Source organism: Homo sapiens, chromosome 2 (assembly GCF_000001405.40).
Source record: "Homo sapiens chromosome 2, GRCh38.p14 Primary Assembly".
NCBI classification, from domain to species: domain Eukaryota; kingdom Metazoa; phylum Chordata; class Mammalia; order Primates; family Hominidae; genus Homo; species Homo sapiens.
In genome coordinates this window covers 65723015-65743813 of record NC_000002.12, presented here as the reverse complement: position 1 = coordinate 65743813, position 20799 = coordinate 65723015, and the positions used below count along the sequence as shown (strand labels likewise).

At 40.9% G+C, this 20799-nt stretch overlaps 1 long non-coding RNA gene across 5 annotated transcripts in view; it reads right to left on the bottom strand.

Moving 5' to 3' along the window:
• LOC105369167 (uncharacterized) overlaps nucleotides 1-18482 on the bottom strand; it is a 29572-nt gene extending 11090 nt beyond the window's left edge. The window contains exons 1-3 of one of the 5 annotated variants that reach the window (XR_940198.2): nucleotides 10858-11008; nucleotides 10425-10651; nucleotides 9831-9941 (exon numbers count right to left, since the gene is read on the bottom strand). This is a non-coding gene — a long non-coding RNA (uncharacterized LOC105369167). Of the gene's footprint in view, nucleotides 1-9830; nucleotides 9942-10424; nucleotides 11009-12909; nucleotides 13316-17191; nucleotides 17235-18048 lie in introns of those variants that run through there. The other 4 variants (XR_940200.2, XR_940199.3, XR_940196.2 and 1 more) reach the window with 4 other exon arrangements.
• Between the last annotated feature and the right edge of the window lie 2317 nt (nucleotides 18483-20799).

Genomic DNA, 20799 nt, shown 5'->3' with positions numbered 1-20799 from the left:
TCTGTCTACTTCTGTGTATGTTCAAAATTCTCCATAATTAGATGAAAGTGAGCATATCCATTGCCAGCTTTGCCATCTACTAACTGTGTGACCATCCCCAGTTCCTCAACCTCTCTGAGCTTCATTTTCCTCAGTGAAAATGGCCTGACTGTCAGTGTCCTGATGAGGTTCCGTGAATTAAGATGTAAGAAGCACAAAACTTATGTCAGGTTAGTTTTTTTAAAAAAAATTAAAAAACAAACAAAAACACTCTATCTCTTTTCCAGTATATTTCAAATCTATCTCTCTAATCCCAAACTGCTTATCTGCAACAAATGCTCTATTTCCAAATGCAAAGAAATTCTTTCCCACATCCAGCAAATTTCAGCAGAAGGAATGTTTGCCTACTCAAAAGCCATTTTCACTTTCTTCTCTGCTAATAGCCATAATTTTGTTTCCAGTGTTTCCTGCCTCCCCCTTTCTTTTGCCAGTGATAGGTTCAAGGGTGGGCCTCCAACCCAGTTCTGGCTATTGAGATATGAGAAGTCTGCTGGGGATTCTGGGATAGGATTCTTTGCTCATAAGAAAACAAAAAGATGCACAAGGAAGAAAGAGGCCTCTTTCTTCTGCTAGACATAGTCACCTCTGCCTGTGATGCCTGGAACTGCAGCAGCTGTCTTATAACCATGAGAGGAAATAGGCCGAGAGGAACATGCTAAGGATGGCAGATTGGAAAGGCATAAGGAATCTGGTTTCTCAGTGACATTACTGAGCAACTGAGATGGCCATCCATGAATTTCTTGTTATATATCATAATAAGTGCCATTATTGATTAAGCCATTTTGAGTAGGGTATTCTATTACTGAAAGCTGAAAGTCTCCTAAATGAAACAGGCGCAGGTGTTTCATCCCCCTGGGGAAGGGGGATATCTGCACATCATGCCGCCCCACATTCTGCTATTTCTCCATTAAGGACATACTCCCTCCTCCATATTCTTACTCCTTTCCTATCCCCTTCTCATCCCCTGCCATCCTACTCCCAAAATTGAGTGTCAAGTCTCTTAAGAGTGTTGGCACAGAAAAAAAAGTGAGAATCACTGCAAATGAGCTGAAGGAGGTCACGGTAGTGATCTATTTATCTTCTTACCCTCAGTACCTGGCAAAGTTAATAAAGATTTGAGCACAAGGGAAAAAATGAATCTATAAATGAATGCCCTGCCACCTCTTAAAACATAGTTTCAAAATTGAACTCAACTTTCCCCAAATACCTTCCCAAGTAACCCATTTATGCATTGTCTTTTGCCTGAATTCTAATAATCTCTTATTGGCCTCCTTGTCTCCAACCTCTTCCCATTGTAGTCCACCCTCTTCAGGGTCATCAGAGTTAATTCCTAAGACACAAGTTGGATCATTTACTACTGTCCTTAAAGATCTCTACTAACTCATAATCAGCAAGAAGATGAGGTCCAAATTCCTGTCATGGAATGAGGTCCTCTTTCATTTGACCACAATCTAACTCTGCTAACAAATCTCCCATTTCCCTCCTCCCTTCCTCTCTCACTTCAATCCACCCTAGGTTCCAGCCAGACAAGTCACCAGTAGGGTCCTGCACATCAGTCTCATTCATGCTTCTCCCATTATGTTTTTTCTTTGCCCCCGACCCCCATATATAGCCTAACAAACCCTTAATCACCCTTGTCAACTCGTCTCCACTTTTCCAGGCAGAGTTGGTTGTGCTTCCTTCCTTGGTTTTCTCCTAGTCCTTTGACTATAACTCCACAATAGTACCCATCATACCAAATTACAGTTATATGTTTAAATGTCCATAGCTCCTCCTAAACTGAAAAGTGTTCCATAGACAGGTCTACATCCTTACTCCCTACAATATCTGGTACTGAATAAAAGGGTTTAAGTGATGGAAAAGAGGTAGGAAGTAAAGTATTGGCATTTTTCCAGTACCTAAGTCTAGAAACCTGGAAGTTATGAATTCCCAGTACAGAAAGGAATGTTACAGATCATCTTGAAAAACCTTTACTTTAAAGATAAGTAAATTGACTCTTCTTTCATCCCCTTGACTCAATTTGTCCATAAATCCACTTGTCACATCCTCCTTCAAAATGTCTACCACATTTCCTCCTGCCTCTCCATCCAGATGAACCCCACACCCAGTGCATGCTCACTTACTTATTCTGGGATTGTTGAAAGAACCTTTGAAGAAGGTTCTCCCCCTCCCACATTTTGAGCCATCTTGTGCACAACTGACAGAAGAATCTCTAAGCAAGTACTTTTAACAAGTCATCCCAACCGTCCCAAAGAAGTCTTTACAATTTCCAATTGGCTTCATTTCTTTAAAGCCAAGCTCCCATACTACCACTGTGGCCTTCTAGAGCTCAGTCATCTGGGCCATCCTCTTAGCCCAACTCTTCCCACACTCCCAGACACACGTACCATGCCCCAGGCACCTCCTGGTGTCAGAAAATATGGCGGTGCTTACTCCTTCCTCTGGCCTTCTGCTTACATTCCAAGACTCTACCTGGGTGTCCCCCAGCTTGCCTCTGCTCACTAAAAACCTAGTCCTTTTTCACAGCACCACCCACCACTACATCTTTCCTCTCTACCTGACACAGATCAATGTTTTCCTTTCCCTGACCTCCCATGGCTCTACTGTTCACTGTTCCATCTCCCACTTAGAACGTAAGTGATTTGAGAGCAGGGACCCCCCCCAAATCTTAAGCAATTTGCATGCCCCAGAAACCTGCTTTCCCTAATCTTTGCCCATCGCCACCCTCTTCAAGACTCAATACAAATACCACCCACCTGTGAACTAAATAAATGAAAACCCTAATGACTATGAACTCCTATAGCACTTTGTTGGCATCTTTCTTAGGGCATTTATCACATTCTTTCTGCTGATGTAACTGTTTGTCAGCGTGTTTTATTTTTCTTAATATAAGACAAACTCAGCCTGGCGCGGTGGCTCACACCTGTAATCCCAGCACTTTGGGAGGCCAAGCGGGTGGATCACGAGGTCAGGAGATCACTACCATCCTGGCTAACACAGTGAAACCCCGCCTCTACTAAAAATACAAAAAAAAAAAAAATTAGCCGGGCGTGGTGGTGGTCATCTGTAATCCCAGCTACTCGGGAGGCTGAGGCAGGAGAATGGCTTGAACCCGGGAGGTGGAGCTTGCAGTGAGCCAAGATCACACCACTGCACTCCAGCCTGGGCAACAGAGTGAGACTCCGTCTCAAAAAAATATATATATATATATATTGTATTGTATATATTGTAAAAGCCCTTATTGTAAAAATCTTTCTTGAGTCTGTTTTTCTGTGATTCCTAACATGGATGTTGAAGGCGGAGCCTGAGGCAAACAATCAAAGACAGAGAGAGAGAGAGGTGGGCATGTTTTTTGTGTGCAGACACATGCATGTACCTGCCTCCCACGGTGATATCCAGATGAAGTTATGTTTAAATGGGTCTCAGTGGCATTTTAGAAGGGGAAACAGGTATTAAAAGAAACAGAGAGGTGGGTCCATTCCCACAAAGTCACAGTCTTGATGACCCACAGAGCGATTATTGTTGCACTGACCTGTTTCTAGCACTGGAAGTTGTGCATCCTAGGAAACCCTCCACCCCCAATCCCATGCAAACCTGGATGGTTGATCACCCTAGCACCAGGGTTAATTTTAGCACTAAGGCCACCTCCTTGTCTCCCTTTCCTGGCTCCTTAAATCACTGTACATTCACCAGCACAGTCACAGGGTAAACACATCAATTTATCATAGCCTAAGCCACAGCAAACTTGGATAATTCCTTAAATTTCTCAGTGTCAAATTGAGCTCTGCTTTGCAAAGTGGATGTTTTAGATCTCAGTAGAAATTATTTCAGCAGATTAGGAATACTTCTTAAAAAGATGTTTGCTTCAGCAAAACATAAGGCAGGTGGGTAACTACACTGAGATTCTGTAAATACCCTGAAAATATCATTGAATGGCAACTTATTTTCTCAAATCATCCTTAAATCACATACAAACACAGTTGAGGTGAAGAACCTTCTAGAGTATTATCAATAGTTCACATCTGCCTTTAAGAGCCCCTCTTACTCATAAAATACTTAAACCTTTTCTGTCTTCTTGACTTCATCTCATTTTGATGGTTTCAGTATCCATATTCTGAACTGTGGCATTTCCAGGTCAAATTTTTCTGCAGACAAGTTAATCTAAAAAGAAGCCTCCGTGATAATTCTTTGGATGTCTTTGTCATTGGTCTGGTGTTTACACCAAAATCTCCAATGTGGGAATATGTTCTCCTGAGTTTCCATTAGTTCCCACAAGGGAATGACAAAGCCCTTTTAATCCTTTTCAGGGCACTCTTTGTAGCCTTCCACCATGTCTAATGCCTCAGAACCAACATCTGAAACAATCATGTATGCACTGGTGTGATGTGATACCTGAGGACTTACGAAATGTGCTTAATTTGGTAAAACATTCAGTTAAGATTCAGGGAGTTTCTACACGGCTTGCAGCATGCATATTGTTCTAAGTGGATACCACAGACTCAAATTTTTGTGGGATTAACTGGAGGTTCAGACATCTTCTAAATCTACCATTGCAACACTCAAAATATGTGACTAACACTACCCATAAAGTTGATAGAATCAATTATTTTTTAACAGGAAGAAAACCTTAAATTGTTCCTTCACATTGGCTGTGCCATCAGTTGAACATGCTACATAACTTTTCATAGAAATATGATTTGATATGAGAACATCTGTAACCGTCTGGAACATATTTTTCCCAGGACTTTACTTCAAGCTCTCTATAGATATCAGATGTTCTCCACGGAATCTGTGATATGTCTTAGGATTCTTGAATAAACATCAGCTATGCCTCTGTCTTGAATAGTGTCAATCTGAATTGAAAATCTGCCAAACTTTTTAATATCACCACCAGCAGACTTCTTAATCAATCTGCTGATACTGTGTATAGACTTATTTTAAAATCAGAGTTGTATAAGCAGATCTTCCACTTATTTTAGAAACTCACTTTTGTTTCCAAAAATTCAAGATGCATTTCAGCAAGCAGCAAACTGAAAAACATAAGATAGAGTCTTATCTCACTGCTTACATTTGCTGGAGTGTATTTGTCCCATGATAACTGACAAGGTCCTTTACCAATGGCCTTAAGTCCATTAATTATGTAAAATAAAAATACTTCAGCACAATTTGTTCTATCTTCGTGTACTTTTGATTATAAAATGGATGACTGGCATCGTGATTAATAGTACTTATTAAACGGGAAGTCTTCATCTCTTAAATGAGTCTCTCTGACACAAATGTTCTGCAAATTACATCTGAAGTACACATTACAGAAAAGAACCTACTTAATTTTAATGGAATTATTTCAAATATGCACAAAGATGTATGTGCATGGATATTCTTCTGAAAGTTGTTTAGAGATTCTAAAAATGTGGAAAGACTTGTACCATAGGGAATAGCTAAGTGATTTATAATATGTCCATACAAGGAAATACCATGCTGTTATTAAAATTAAGGTGGCAAACATAACTTTACTTACATGGAAAGATAGTCCGCCGTAGTGTTAATTGCGGTAAAAAGAAATTCAAAAAGCAGTATTGTGATATAATAGAATTTTGTTTCTCTGTTGTTTTTCATTATGTATACCTACATTGCATGGAAATAAATCTGAAAAGGTATACACTAAATAGTGAGAGCGGTTATCTCTGGATGACAGAATTACAGGTCATTCATTTTCTCTTTATGTCATCACCAGCAAGCTGTGACCTGTCAGTGCCCAAGACAGAAAGGGGCAACCTGAGGTATAAGCAAAGGATGGAGGGTGTTCACAGGTTAACCTGACTTCCACAGGCAAAAGGCTCTGGGGTGGGACCTAAGAATTTGCATTTCTAACTAGCTTCTAGGTAATGCTGCTGCTGTCAGTGCAGGAACTACACTTAGAGTAACACCGCCCTAGGGTTCTTCTTCGCACTTCCCTTCTCAGCTGCCTCCTATTGGTAATTATTAGAGTGTGTTGTAAATGTGTGTGCTGATTCCTCCACTAGAGTACAGGATTGGCTCCTGGCCCCAAGCCTACAGCCTTCCACATAGCAAGTATGAAGTGCACATTTTTTGAAGGCATTAATAGGGAGATTTCCAGGCATGGTGGGAGGGGTATTGAGAAAGATCTGCATAGTTCACTGCTTACTTCTCATGTGATACCGTGGCATGCTTCAACGGCTTCACCTATGTTTGGGCTAGTGTCTCTGGGGCAGGCCTAGCAATCTGCCAAGGCTGCTCTGCTGCTCACTAAAGTTTGAGAATCTGCCCAGGGAATCAGAGGAAAGGGAGGATTCCATGGCTTGGTTGGAGAAAGCTTTACATTGAGACAATAAAAGTCTCTGGAAAAATGTAAGGATATTTTTAGCGTATTGACATAGCATCACACTTTAACCTACTAACAGTTCAGTATGAATTAGTGCATCTGATTAGCGTAGAGAAGAAAGAATGGACATAAGATTAGCATGATTTGATCAAGAAGACTTGAAAGGTCCAAAGCAGAGCTTAGAATTCACCCGAGGACTGAATACCTTTTTCCAAGGGAATTGGGGAAGAAACATATCACATGCTGCCCAGAGGCCTTCTTCCTTTCAAGCAGTACAATCCCAGAATAAAGACTTTTTTTTAAGAGGTAAAGAAAAGAAGGGGGAACAAACAACTGTTTCTACTCCCCAAGAGACCTTTAAGCAATCTCCAAGTCAGAAACCAAGAGGGGGCTGGACCGCGAACGCTTGGGGGATCATCCCCTTCCCACGTGCTACTGCTCCCAGCTGTATCTGCCAAGCCCTAGAGTGTCAGGATCCTATAAAAGGCATTTTGAGAGGCCACAACACTTCCTTCTCTCACCCCAACATGAGGCCCTCAATTAAGCCAGAACTAATTCTTATGACAAGTTACAAACCACAGTCAAAAATAATGAAAACATTGACACCACTCACACTGGGGGAAGATTTCAGGGTGCTCCTATGACAAAGCCCCCATTATTCACCCATCTCTCCTGAGAGTTCCCAGGGATGGGCACAGCAGCCTCCCTAAGTTCTACAGAATGAAGCAAAAAGCAGAGTTTCTACTGTGGTACTGGTTCAAGCTTCTAGCAGGTAATTCTGCATATCTGAGCAACTTTTTTATAGAACATTTTTTCTTTAAATCAGGATAGGCAAAGGGAAGAACATTAGATTTGGAGTAAGAAGTCCTGGGTTCTACATCCAGTTTATGAAAAAAACAAATGGGATGGCCTAGAATGTGTTAGTCATGTCTCTGAGTCTCAGACTGTGTGCATTTGTGTGTGTGTGTGTGTGTGTGTGTGTGTGTGTGTGTATTATGTGTACATACAAGGGTAAACTAGTACCTTCAAAACTAAGGCTTGACACATCTAGTGTGGGGGTGACACCCATGCCTCCAGACATCTATTCGCAGGTGTCGATAGATGTTCCTTCGCTAGAAAAGTAGGAGTTGGCGAACATGGGTCTGACAGAAGGAACAGAAGAGTAGAAGGTTCCTTTAATCTCACTGGGAGCAGCCCCATCATCAGCCTGAATATGGGTGGAAAACTATTTGCCAGCACAATGTGACAGAATATGTGAGTCCTGGCTCCTGAGCCCAAGTGAGGCATCCCTGGGGGACCCCAGAAACAATAGAGGAATCCCAAAGAGAGCTCAAGAGGTCCCACAGTTAGGTGAAGAATGGGCTGAGTGCCTTCAGAATTGAGCCATTAGGTCATATTAAATATGTCCCCTACTTGACGGTGGCCAAGACCTGGGGACATTCAGTGGGAAAGGGAACTCCCCTGTCAACACCACAGGGTGAATATGAGATTCAAACTAAGCAATGTTCATGAAAGTAATGTGTAAACTACAAAAAGGATCTAGAGATACATTTCTTTCGCAATATGAAGTCAGTGGCCAAGAGATCTTCAGAGCACAAATCCCACTGGTGGAGTGAGCCCTAATAGGGTACAGTGCAGCTGCATCTAAAAGCATCTTTATCATACAAACAAATGGAAAAACATTCCATGCTCATGGACAGGAAGAATCAATATCGTTAAAGTGGCCATACTGCCCAAAGCAATTTATAGATTCAATGTTATTCCCATTAAACTGCCATTGACATTCTTCACATAACAAGATAAAACTATTTTTAAAGTTCACATGGAACCAAAACAGAGCCTAAATAGCCAAGGCAATCCTAAGCAAAAAGAACAAAGCTGCAGACATCACACTACCTGATTTCAAACTACACTACAGGTCTCCAGTAACCAAAACAGCATGGTACTGATAAAAGAACAGACATATAGACCAATGGAACAGAATAGAGAACCTGGAAATAAGACTGCCCACCTACAACTATCTGATCTTTGACAGCTTGACAAAAACAAGCAATGGGGAAAGGATTCCCTATTCAATAGATGGTGCTGGAATACTTACCTGGCTAGCCATATGCAGAAGATTAAAACTGGACCTCTTCCCTACACCATATACAAAAACTAACACAAGATGAGTTAAAGACTTAAATGTAAAACCTAAAACTATAAAAACCCTGGAAGACAACCTAGGCAATACCATTCAGGACACAGGCACAGGCAAAGATTTCATGACAAAGACAACAAAAGCAATTGCAACAAAAGCAAAAATTGATCAATGGGATCTAATTAAACTAAAGAGCTTCTGCACAGCAAAAGAAACTATCAACAGAGTAAACAGACAACCTACAGAAAGGGAGAAAATTTTTGCAAACTATGCATCTGACAAAGGTCTAATATCCAGCATCTGTAAGGAACTTAAACAAATTTACAAGAAAAAAACAAACAACCCCTTTAAAAAGTGGACAAAGGACATGAACAGTTTTCAAAAGAAGACATACATGCAGCCAACAATCATAAGAAAAAAAGCTCAACAGCAATTATCATTTGAGAAATGCAAATCAAAACCATAATGAGATCCCATCTAACACCAGTCAGAATAGCTATTATTAAAAAAAAAAATTTAAAAACACAGACATTGGTGTGGTTGTGGAGAAAAAGGAATGTTTATGTCCCGTAGTAGTAGGAGTGTAAATTAGTTCAACTATTTGGGAGACAGTATGGCAATTCCTCAAAGACCTAAAGACAGAAATGCCATTCAACCTAGCAATCCCATTACTGGGTATACACTCAAAGGAATATAAATCATTCTACCATAAAGACACATGCCCACATGTTCATCGCAGCACTATTCACAATCGCAAAGACATGGAATCAACCTAAATGCCCATCAGTGATAGACTGGATAAAGAAAATGTGGTAAACGCACACCACAGAATACTAGGCAGCCATTAAAAATGTGGTAAACACACACCACAGAATACCAGGCAGCCATTAAAAAGAATGAGATCATGTTTTTTTTGCAGGACATGGATGGAGCTGGAGGCGATTATCCTTAGCAAACTAACACAGGAACAGAAAACCAAATACCGCATGTTTTCACTTATAAGTGGGAACTAAATAAATGATGAGAACACATGTACACATAGAGGGAAACAACACACACTGGGGCCTATCGGAGGGTGGAGGGTGGGAGAAGGAAGAGGATCAGGAGAAATAACTAATGGGTACTAGGCTTAATACCTGGGTGATAAAATAATCTGCACAACAAACCCCATGACACAGGTTTACCTATGTAACGAACCTGCACATGTACCCCAAACTTAAAAGTTTAAAAAAAAATAAAGTAAGAAAAAACATTTTTAAATAAAAATAAATAAAAAATCCTTAGGAATGTGGAGGGAAGTTTTCTTACTTTCCGAGGAGTCCTCAAATTCTTTCTAAGGGACTGACATAAGCCTCTTCAATTGTGAATTCAGCAAATCTTTGATACCAGACCTCTCTTCTTGGCTTGGGCTCCCTCTATCTACATAGAAGACAGTGCCATTTGAATATGCTGCAGACAAATCAGCATTCAAAATTCATCTCCTTTTATTCAGAACTTTTAATTACCATAACATATATACATCTGTACTTCCCCCAGACTCTAAGCTTCTTGAGGACAGTGACCAGATCTTACATGTCTTTGTATTCCCAATGGAAAGATAGTAGATTCTCAGTAGTGGTTGGATGTATTGAATTAAAGTATTCAGTATTAGCTATGGTAATGTTAGCTGCTATAACAAATGTGACAACCTAAGAGGCTTAATATATTTTAATTTTGTGTGCCCTAAAGACTGCAATATGGATGTTTCTGACCAGCGGGCAGCCTTTCACATGGTCATTTGGGACCCGGAATCATTCTATCTTGTAGGTCTTCCCTCCATTAGGGTCCTGGAGACGTCTACATTCAGCCTACAGATGGAGATAGAGATGAGTGGAGGGGAAGGTGAGGAAGGTGGAGGCATACCTGTTTTTTCAGTTCCTTGGTTCCAAAGTGAAACATCTCACTTCCAAAACATTTCTTTGGCATGATCCAGTCTCATGGTACTACTTAGATGTAAAAGGACTAGAAGATGTTGTCCCTGGTGGGAAAACTGCTTCCCAGCACAACTCCATACTATGGAAGGGGAAGTATGAATCTTTGGTGGAGCTGGCCATCTTGGCCACATGCTCTTATGGGACCTAATATCTAACCTATAAAAGACACATATTTCTCATAAGTAGAATGACCATATGTCTAAGTTGCTTAGAAAAGTCCCATTTTTGCTTATTTCCTTGACATAATGATTAATAACTCCCCTTTTTACTCTCAAAAGTGTCCAAACTTGGAGGATAAATTATGTTGTTACCCTATAAGACAGATGGCCATAAACCATCTTATAGATAACCTATGAGCTCACCAAAAAGTTTTTCAAGGCTTACATGTTTCACCATGAGTAACTGAAGACCTATCAAGGCATAGATCTGTAACACAAAGAAGAAAACATCAAGAGTGGCATATTTCCATTTTACATGACCACCATATACTTTCCTATGTGTAAGTAAAATCTATTCATTGAACTTTAAAGTTCACTTCAGAGAAACATGTCATTCCACAATATGCCTCCTCTGTGCTATAGCACAAGCAGTGCCCTAAACATAAAGGAGCAATGTCTGACACTGAAAAGCACAAGTTTTGCCTTATAGATATCTCTGACTTCGCTTTCCAGGGAAGAACTGATATCTTCAGAAGTGCCAGTGTTCCTTTCCAAAGCCACACCAACAAATCAAAAACACCTATCATTCAATCCAAAAATCCCTTAGTTATAACACTAAAAACATGATCGACTAGGCCAGACGCACTGGCTCACGCCTGTAATCCCAGCACTTTGGGAGGCTGAGGCGGGAGGATCACTTGAGGTCAGGAGTTTGATACCAGCCTGGCCAACATGGCAAAACCCCGTCTCTACCAAAAAATACAAAACTTAGACAGGCATGGTGGTGTGCGCCTATAGTCCCAGCTACTCAGGAGGCTAAGGCGGGAGAATTGCTTGAACCCAGGAGGCAGAGGCTGCAGTGAGCTGAGATCGCACGGCTGCACTCCAGCCTGGGCGGCAGAGTGAGACCCTGTCTCAAAAAAAAAAAAAAAAACTCATGATCAATTAGTCAACAAATTTCTTTCCAAGCATGAATTGTCACCCGACTTTAAATAAAAAAGCCTATAATTCACAAATTACAATTATACAGACAGGGACTTCCTTTTGCTAATAGTCTTTCTTCATAATTTAGTAAACGAAAGTACAAGAGGAATGTTTAAAGGACTTGAGAGCAAAGAGTTTTCAAGAACCCAAGAGAATTTTGTAAGATATATATAGGTACAAATATAGATTCTAACTACTAGTGATACAGGAGTTAAGAAGAAATTACTTAGGCAGATAGTCCAGAAGTCCTTGGTAACGTTTTTCTTTTAATGAAAAGCTGCCCCAAATCATTTTCTAACAAAGAGCAGCCTGTGAAGTTGAGCTGCAGACATAGACAAGCACGCTGGGAGCTTTCACGGTGAATGCCGGCAGGAAAGAACTACCTGGGACTAGACATGGCAGCTAGAAAATGGCGGCTCCATCTTCCCTTCTTGGCCAGCCACGTGTACATTAAGGAGCAGACAAAATGAAGCCGCCAGCCAAGGGGAATGTTCATTTGCATAGTAAGATTAGGGTGGGGTGACCAGCCTTACCCACATGCTTTGTAAACGTCACACCTGATTGAACCAATGTGTGAGCCCCACATAAATCAGACGACGCCTCCTCAAGCCGGACTATAAAACCTGGCTCATCTGCCGCCAGCTGGCCTTTTCCTCTCAGAAGTCTCCTCTCTGTCACTCTAGAGAGCGAGCTGTTTTCCTTTCCTTTTCTTTCGCCTATTAAATCTCCGTTCCTAAACTCCTCATGTGGGTCCGTGTCCTAAATTTTCTTGGCATGAGATGACGAACCCCAGGTATTTACCCAGACAATGTAGCCTCTTCACTAGGAAGCTAGATGGAGATAACTTAAAAAGCTTTGTTAGTGTGCCCTTTTCTAAGTTTAGTTTGAGCAACTTGAAATCACACAGGAATCTCCTTGAAAAATAGTTTGCAATTCAATTTCACCAATTCAGACTGATTTTCCATTTCAATTAGTCCAGAGGAAAGAGGCTTTGCCCAAATGTAGAGGATTTCCCCCATCTAACACCTTCTCCGGTTGAACCTTGTAAAGATATTGCTAAGAGGAATGCTTGATCAAATGCTTAAGCATTAACCATGTGCAAGGAAAGCCACTAAATGAATGAACCTTCTGTGAATTAAATTGATTTTCTAGAAAATGAAAACAAAATTGAATCCAAGAATAAGCTATCTTAAAATCACATTGAGTAAAAACATAAAATATTTTTTCACCAGAGCTGTAAAAATTAAATTAGCTAAAAGAGGAAATAAATGCTTTTGTGTTCCAAGGAATTCCATTTATTAGGACAATAGGTACCTATGAAGGAACCAGAACTCTAAAAAGAACTGTAATTGTTTCTCAGGATGATGCTTTGTGATGTGAAAGCAAAGCCTGCTGGAAGAGGGGCATCATAGTTGGTGGCTGCTCACAACTGGACAGAAAGAAGGGGGAAGCTACCTAGATGTTCAGAGGGACTGCCGAATGGGAGCTGGCTCCTTGCTGGGACAGGGATGGACAGTGTGTTTCCCCTTCCTCTGTCATCCCTCCCAAAGTATCACCAATCTTTCCTTGGGTTCAGTTTGCTTCTATACATTTCTGCTTCTCATAGGGGCTCGTCCAATAAGCTGTTCTGGGCTCAGCAGCCTTTGTCTGTGGATTGAGCCATATCATGCCATGAAACCTGCAGAAAAAAATGTTGTGTCCAGATTCTTGTTTTATTAGCCAGGTAAATACACTCACTGCTATAACAAACAGGTTCAGATTTCAAAAGCTTGACACAATTTTAAAGTCTAGGTCCCTCTCTTCCAAGCGGTGACTCAGAGATTTGGGCTCGTTCTATCTTAAAATGCTACCATATCCAGCCAATTGAATGAAAGGGAGAGAAGGAGCTCATGGAAGGTTGTGCATTGAGTTTATGACAAGCCTGAAAAGTGGCACACATCATTTCTGCTCACATTCCAGAACTCAGTTATGTGGTTCATCTAGATGCATAGGGAGCTGGGAAACATAGCTTTGCTTTGTGCACAGGAAGGACAAAAGAACTGTATATTGGTGAATTGTAGCAATTTCTACCACCCTGGCTCTGCCCATCAATTCAGAAAACATTTGGTAATGTATTTTCTATGTCAGACACTCTGTCAAGGACTAGAGTAAATGGTGAGCAGTACATTGCCCTTGAGTAATCACAGTCTAACGAGAGAGAAGAATGGGTAAATTAACAATTATTATATACCATGATAAATGTTATAACAGAGACATTTGCTGAGTGCTGAAGGCACCCAGAAAAGAAGCAAGTTTAGGGAAGTTTCAGTTACATTTGAACTGAGTCTTGAAGTAGAGTGATCATAGCTGATGTTTTTTAATCACTTTCCACTCACCAGGCACTATTCTAAGCACTTTTCATGTATTAACTCACTTAATCATCACAACAACTCTAACAGGAAGGTGTTATTATTATATCCACAGATGAGGAAACTGAGGCATAGTGAAGTTAAGTCCCTTGCTCAGGGTCTCATTCTTTGCTAATGACAGAGACGAGATTTGGACCTAGACAGTCTATCTCCTAAAACCACTCTTTCAACCAACAACACTATACAGAGAAGCAATAGACGTTCACCAGAGAGGAAGGTGGGGGCCCTCTCTGCTTATGTAGGGCCTGTGTCAGCATGTCTAGAACAATGACATCAGAAAAGTACTTCCTGGTGTTGAGAAGCATGCCCTGGTAAGGTCTCACCACACCCTTACCGCCTGTGCCATGCAGCTATGGGTTTCACAAACAGAGTGAGGGATGACCCTTGCAAGGCAGGGAGGATGCCAGGACGTTAGGCAGATGGGCCAGACTGGAATAAGGAACCCGGATGTTAATAGTAGATAATCCTACTAAGGCATGGCCAGTGGCCAAGGAAGGTAACCAAAGAGGCTGATTTATTTTTACAAATGTATTAAGATATTATTAGGTTCAATATAAATTAATCTCATGCTGAATATTAATAACATCAGACTCTGGCCATTCCCGATTCCATGCTGACCATACACACTCGCTTCCTATGTGTGGTAAAGGCTTCTAGTGCTCACCTATACCCTTCTCTCCTCCTGTCACTCAGGAAGTCTCCACTCCCCAGGTCTCTTGCAGTTAGGTATGACTATGTGACTAGTCATAGCCAGTGAAATGTATGCAGAAGTCATATGAGTTTCTCCTGGGCCACAGCATAAGGAAGTGACCTCTAGTCCTTTGCCTTGGCAACCCTGGAGGCCACCTGTTGAGATGGCAGCATAACAAGACAGAGGGAGTGCTGCCCAGAGAATCGCCTAACCCATATAGGACTTTATGCAAGCAAGAAATAAGCCTTTGTTGCCTTCACTCCCTAAGATTTCTGAGTTTATTTATTAATGCAGCACTACCTGGTGAGTGTATTAATATATTATATTTCAAGCCTATGCCCATCACTGGTTTTGCTTTTACTTCTGCTTTGACACTGGAACTCATGCCAAACTCCTTTCATTATTCAGCCAAGATTGCGTCTGTTAAATCTAATCCAGTAGTATGCAGATACAGTGACTTCTTAAGTTGTTTATTAATGTTCACATTTCTTTTTTTTTTCTTTCTTTTTTTGAGAAGAAGTCTCACTCCACTGCCCAGGCTGGAGTACAGTGGTGCGATCTCAGCTCACTTCAACCTCCACCTTCCAGGTTCAAGCAATTCTCCTGCCTCAGCCTCCCAAGTAGCTGGGATACAGGCATGTACCACCATGCCCAGCTAAATTGTTTTTGTTATTTTTAGTGGAAACAGGGTTTTACCATGTTGGCCAGGCTGGTCTCAAACTCCTGACCTCAAATGATCCAGCCACCTCGGCCTCCCAAAGTGCTGGGATTACAGGTGTGAGCCACCGTGCCCAGCCAATGTTCACATTTTTCAATGAAGCTAGAAACAAAACTCCTTGACTACCACTTGGAATGTCACTGTCTGAGTTTGATGTCATAATGGCCACAGAGTCTGAGCTATCTTCTAACACATCCCCTGCTCTAAGTGGAAATTTAACAAGATGAACTTTCCAGTAATGAGGCTTGACAGCGCTGCCACCACCAGAAGCGGAAGCAGTCAGGTCAGAAGGAAGGCTGCTAACTTCCTCACAGAAGTGTTGATTAGGCTTTGCGCTACTAGCCTGCTCATGGAGGGAGCCTCATCAGTCCTCTTCTGAACACTGTGAATCCTTCCTTATCCTCCCTTCCCCCCTGCCCCCACACACACACACAAATTCACACTTAAGATATTACCAAATTGCAACATCTAACATTTCTCAAAGAAGCTATTTCCAATGCAGGTGTGCCCCCACATTATGAGAAAAGTACATTCAAGAAGTGTCATATATAAATCCAGTCAGTGGAGAATGATATCATTTGGTAAATTCCCATTTGTTTTGTGTGTTTCCTTAAAGAGAGATGTACACACATCTATAATTCCAGCTTCAACTTAACGACTTTCAGACAAAACACAGGGGAAAATATTAATTACAGGAAAGTGTCTTTTAATCTCTAGTACCAGTAGGGTAGTCAGACACCAGTCATAGGCATACAGAAAAATATGCTTCCTGTCATCATGGTTACTTTCAGAAACACACACTGAAGATTAGCACCAAAACAGGAACTCAGAGACAACCAGGCTCAAAAACAAACAAAATGCAGAAATTATGTAATTGCCTAAAAGCCATGAAGTCACTTAGCTAAATATTTTAAGGAATAGCATTACCTAAAATAATAATCATCCTCACTTGACTAATAACATTTCATTTTCAGGGCATAAACAAACCCCAGTTTCAAATGATTAGTAGTCCAAGTCAGATGCCTTGAAATCCATCCCAGCCCTCATTTCCACTCATACTGTTTCCACCCATTCCTTCACCCTACCCATTCCCAGAGCTTCCATCTTAGATTTTGATGATGCTAGCTGGAGGTATAGATTCAGATTACCACATAATTATTATTGTACTATATTATCTTCTAGGTGATATTTTTATATTTGCTTTTATTTTAATAAAGAGAAATTAAAGCATTTATATATAGTCTCTAATATTTATAATTATCTAGATATATAAATAAATATACATTAACTGGCTTCAGTGTTTACTCCCAACCTTTTTTATACTCTAGCTTTCCTATTTTAATCCTTCACTCTAGCATCTATCATCCTTGGTCACCTGGAATTTATCTTCAAGCATTTTTTCAACAGAGATTCATGTTAAATCTTGCCCAGGAAAATTGCCTATCATATAATTTTTTTGAAACGTGGTCTACAGAGAATATATTTCTGTCACTTTCACACATAAAAGACAACCTGGCTGGGTATAAAATTCTTGAATCACAGCCTTTTATAAACAAAACTCTACAGATATTGCTTTTATATAACTATCACAGAGTGGTGTGATTATAGGAGGTTTTATCTTTCTTTTTGTTGGCATTTTGGCATTATTTTATTTGTTCCACACTGAACGCAGGTTGTTGTAATTTTTTAAATTAATAAAAACAAATAAAATCAAAAGATTTGTGCTGAGTAACTTACATTCCCACATTCTGCTGGATGTTGAGAGGCACGCCAATAATCACTGTTGTCAAGGAGGCACTAACTCAACTGTAAGTCACATATTAATGATATAAATGAATGATGTGGCTACAGAAGTAATTTTACAATTTATAAAAATACAATATGGACACAATTTAATATTCTCTAGGGGAAAAAAACAGTAGTGCATTTGGAATACCTAATAAAATAAAAACATCAGAGTCCTCAAACTGAACCATGATCTTCCACAAGGCAAGATTCTGAAATCTGAAGTCCACAGGGTCTCACAACAGTTAAGCTGTAGTTCTGGCCTCCTTCAGGCTGCACAAACATATTACCTCTTTATTCAGAAATATTAGAACCCTCACTACCACCGGAAGAAAAAAGATACGTCAAAACTGAATACACTTTGAAGGAGGTCAGATAGAGGACTACAGCAGTTATTAGAAACATACTGTGTTCAGACAGCCTGGGTTTTAGTCTGGCTGTACCATGTTACTACAATCTGTTTATACTCACAACACTTCTGACGCCAAGTGTGTGGGTTTTTCCACACCAACAACTAATTTTCAACTCCCCAGACACCAACTACAATTTAATTCAATCCTACAATTTAATTCCATTTTCTAATGCTATCTATGTGGAGTTAGCATCAGATCCCACAAGGCCTCAGTCCCATAAGACAGCCCCCATATCAGATGCTAATCACAAGTCCCAAGCTTCCCATACTTCTGACCAACCAGCTATAAGCTGGGGGTTTTTTTGAACCCTTCTCAGGTTTGATAAATTGAAAGAACAGCTCATAGGATTCAGGAAAGCAGTTTAGTGACTAATACTGGTTTTTTACAAAAGGATACAACTCAGGAGGAGCCAAATGGAAGAGATGCAGAGAGCAAGGTATATGGGAAGGGACACAAAGCTTCCATGTCTTCCCATGTCATCTCCTGAACTCTAGCCTTCTACCACCTCAATGTGTTCACCAATCCAGAAGCTCACCAAACCCTGTTGTTAAGGATTTTTATGTTGTTTAGGTTTCCTGTGTTCCATGACACAGGCATGGTTGATTAAATCATTGGCCATTGGTGATTGAATTCAATCTCCATCCCTCTCCCTCTCCAGAAGTCAGGGTGAGGGACTGAAAATTCCAATTCTCTAATCAAGTGATTGGTTCCTCTAGCAACCAGCCCCCATTCCGAGATTATCTTGAGGCTCACCAAGAGTTACCTTATTAGCATTATTAGCATTATATAACTCAGGTATGTTTGAAAATGGCTTATCATGAATAACAAAAGATGCTCCTTTCACCCCTATCACTCAGGAAAGCACAAGAGTTTCAGGAGCTCTCTTTCAGGAACTAGAGACAAAGACTAAAAATATATTTCTCATTGTATTACAATATCACACAATGTGCTATTTGTAAGTGACCCTGAGCAAATTGCTTCCTATGTGCCTTCATCTTCTCATCTGCAAAATCCAGATAAAAGTAATCTCTCCTTGTGGGACTGTTGTAAGAATTAAATGAGTTAAAATAAAGCACAGTACCTGGCATCTAGAAAGTGTGAGTCAAGTATTTACAATGAGCAAAATGAGTCACACAATATACAAGTTGCATGTGGACCTTCATTATTTGACATGTTCTCCAGGAACGCCTATGATCAGCAAGGTGGGAGGGCAGGTGTTCTTCTTCCCATCCCAAGCCAGTGAAGCAAGCTGAGGGAAGGTGATGGGGGCTAGTTCAAGTCATGGGATGGATTGGTGTCACAGCCAGAGCCAGATTTTCCACGCTACTGTGCTGTTTCCTGCATCACCTTTCAAACTGCCCTGCCATCAAGTCTGGTCATTCAGCGATGGTGCCGCTGAGGACCTTGTTGCCCAAATCCCAGGTGAACATGCCCATAATTTTCAAGGTAAGTAGAGAAACAGTCCTTAAAATATTCCCCTACAAAATGAGAAAACCCTACTGCAGTTTTGTTGGTTTTGTAAATGATTGTTTGTTTGTCAGAGTACAGGGGATATTTAGTTTGTTCATCTATCTAGGAATTGTAGATTTCTCAACTTACTTTCAAGAGGAAGTTGGTCCAAAGCCATGACTCAAAGTCCCACGTGAAGATTCAACATTGCTATTTAAAGCAACTACAGTGAAGTCAAGAAGGAGTTGTTCATTTCACCTAGCACATTTTAAGAGTTGGAGTCTCTCAGCCTCGTGGTCTCCCAATTAATTTGTTGGCACAGTTAATCTAAATGAAAGGGAGGATTTTATTCTCACATCCATTAACCTGTAGTAGGAAAATCCATGAGGCTCAACACCTTGGAACATCCCCTCCACCCCCACAGTAGTAGCAAAGAACCTCTAAAGGGGAGAACAGTAAGAATATGAGCTCTGGAGGCTCCTCCACCTTCCATCCAGCCAAGCCTGCACACATGACTTAACCTCTCTGAGCAAAGTGTTTTCTGCATAATAGAGTTGTAATAGTACCTACTTCATAAGGTTGTTACGAGGATTAAATGGGAAAATATACCTAAGGCACTTAGCACTGTGCCTTGCATATTTATCATGGGCTCCATTATCACTCCATGCTCAAGGATGGAATCGCTATAAATCCTGCCATACCAAGCGATGGACAAAGACACTGTGCCAACCGTACTGGCTTCCGTCTGTTTACCTGAAGAACTTTCTGTTTCATAATATATAATGGGTTATTTATGTATAACCTGTGTTCCCAGGACAAGCTCTTGTTTCATGGTTTTTGTAGAGCCCCTAACAGTTTGTCATGGAAGTCCTGAATCTCACCCCTATGATGAAGCACTTTCTTGTAAGTCTGGTTTCAGTTGACTTTTGACCTTTATTAGTCAAAGTTATGGAGCCCAAATTTGTTTGCTTCCATGTCTCCCTAGGGATTCATTGAAGAAACAGCTGGGGTGGTGGCTTACTGACTTTTAGGTTAAATTCAGATAGCACATGATTAGAAATCTCCATTTTGCCCCAGAGAGGTCAGGACCCCTCAGAATCCCAAAAGCAAGAGAGATACCAGATCACCCCTAGGACCAAAGGGGCACCCTCTAGCCTGGGGTGTAAGAAGCTCCCAAGAGCACCAAGAAAGGACACATCTTGGTTGGCACACCTGGCACTGGCTGGTTCTAATCTTCAGAGGAAGGGACAGCAGAGGAGATAGGCAAGCTTGTGTGCTGGGTCCAATCTGGCCATGAGCCTCGAATTGTCAGGATCTGGATGCATCTCAGAAACTCTGGAAATCCACCTCAGATGCAGGACAGTAAAAATGGCAGTGAGGGGTCCTTATCTACTCCTGCTTTTAGGGAGAAGCTGAAGCTTCCAGTGGGATCTGTTTGTTCTCCCATCTGACAACTCCTCCTACTCTCCTTCCAAAGTTGGGTTTATTCTCAGCAAAGGATTGATGACTGCAATGAAATTGAGCAAATGTTGGCATTAGATAATACCTGGAAAAGGGTGTTACCTGAGAGGTAGTTCACAGCTAGCCAAAAAATCAAGTTACAAGGCTTACACTTCAACTCCTGCTTCCCTATGACCTTGGCAAATTGGAGGAGAATCCTCTAGTCATCTCATTCTTCTCCCTTTCCTGTGTCTCTTC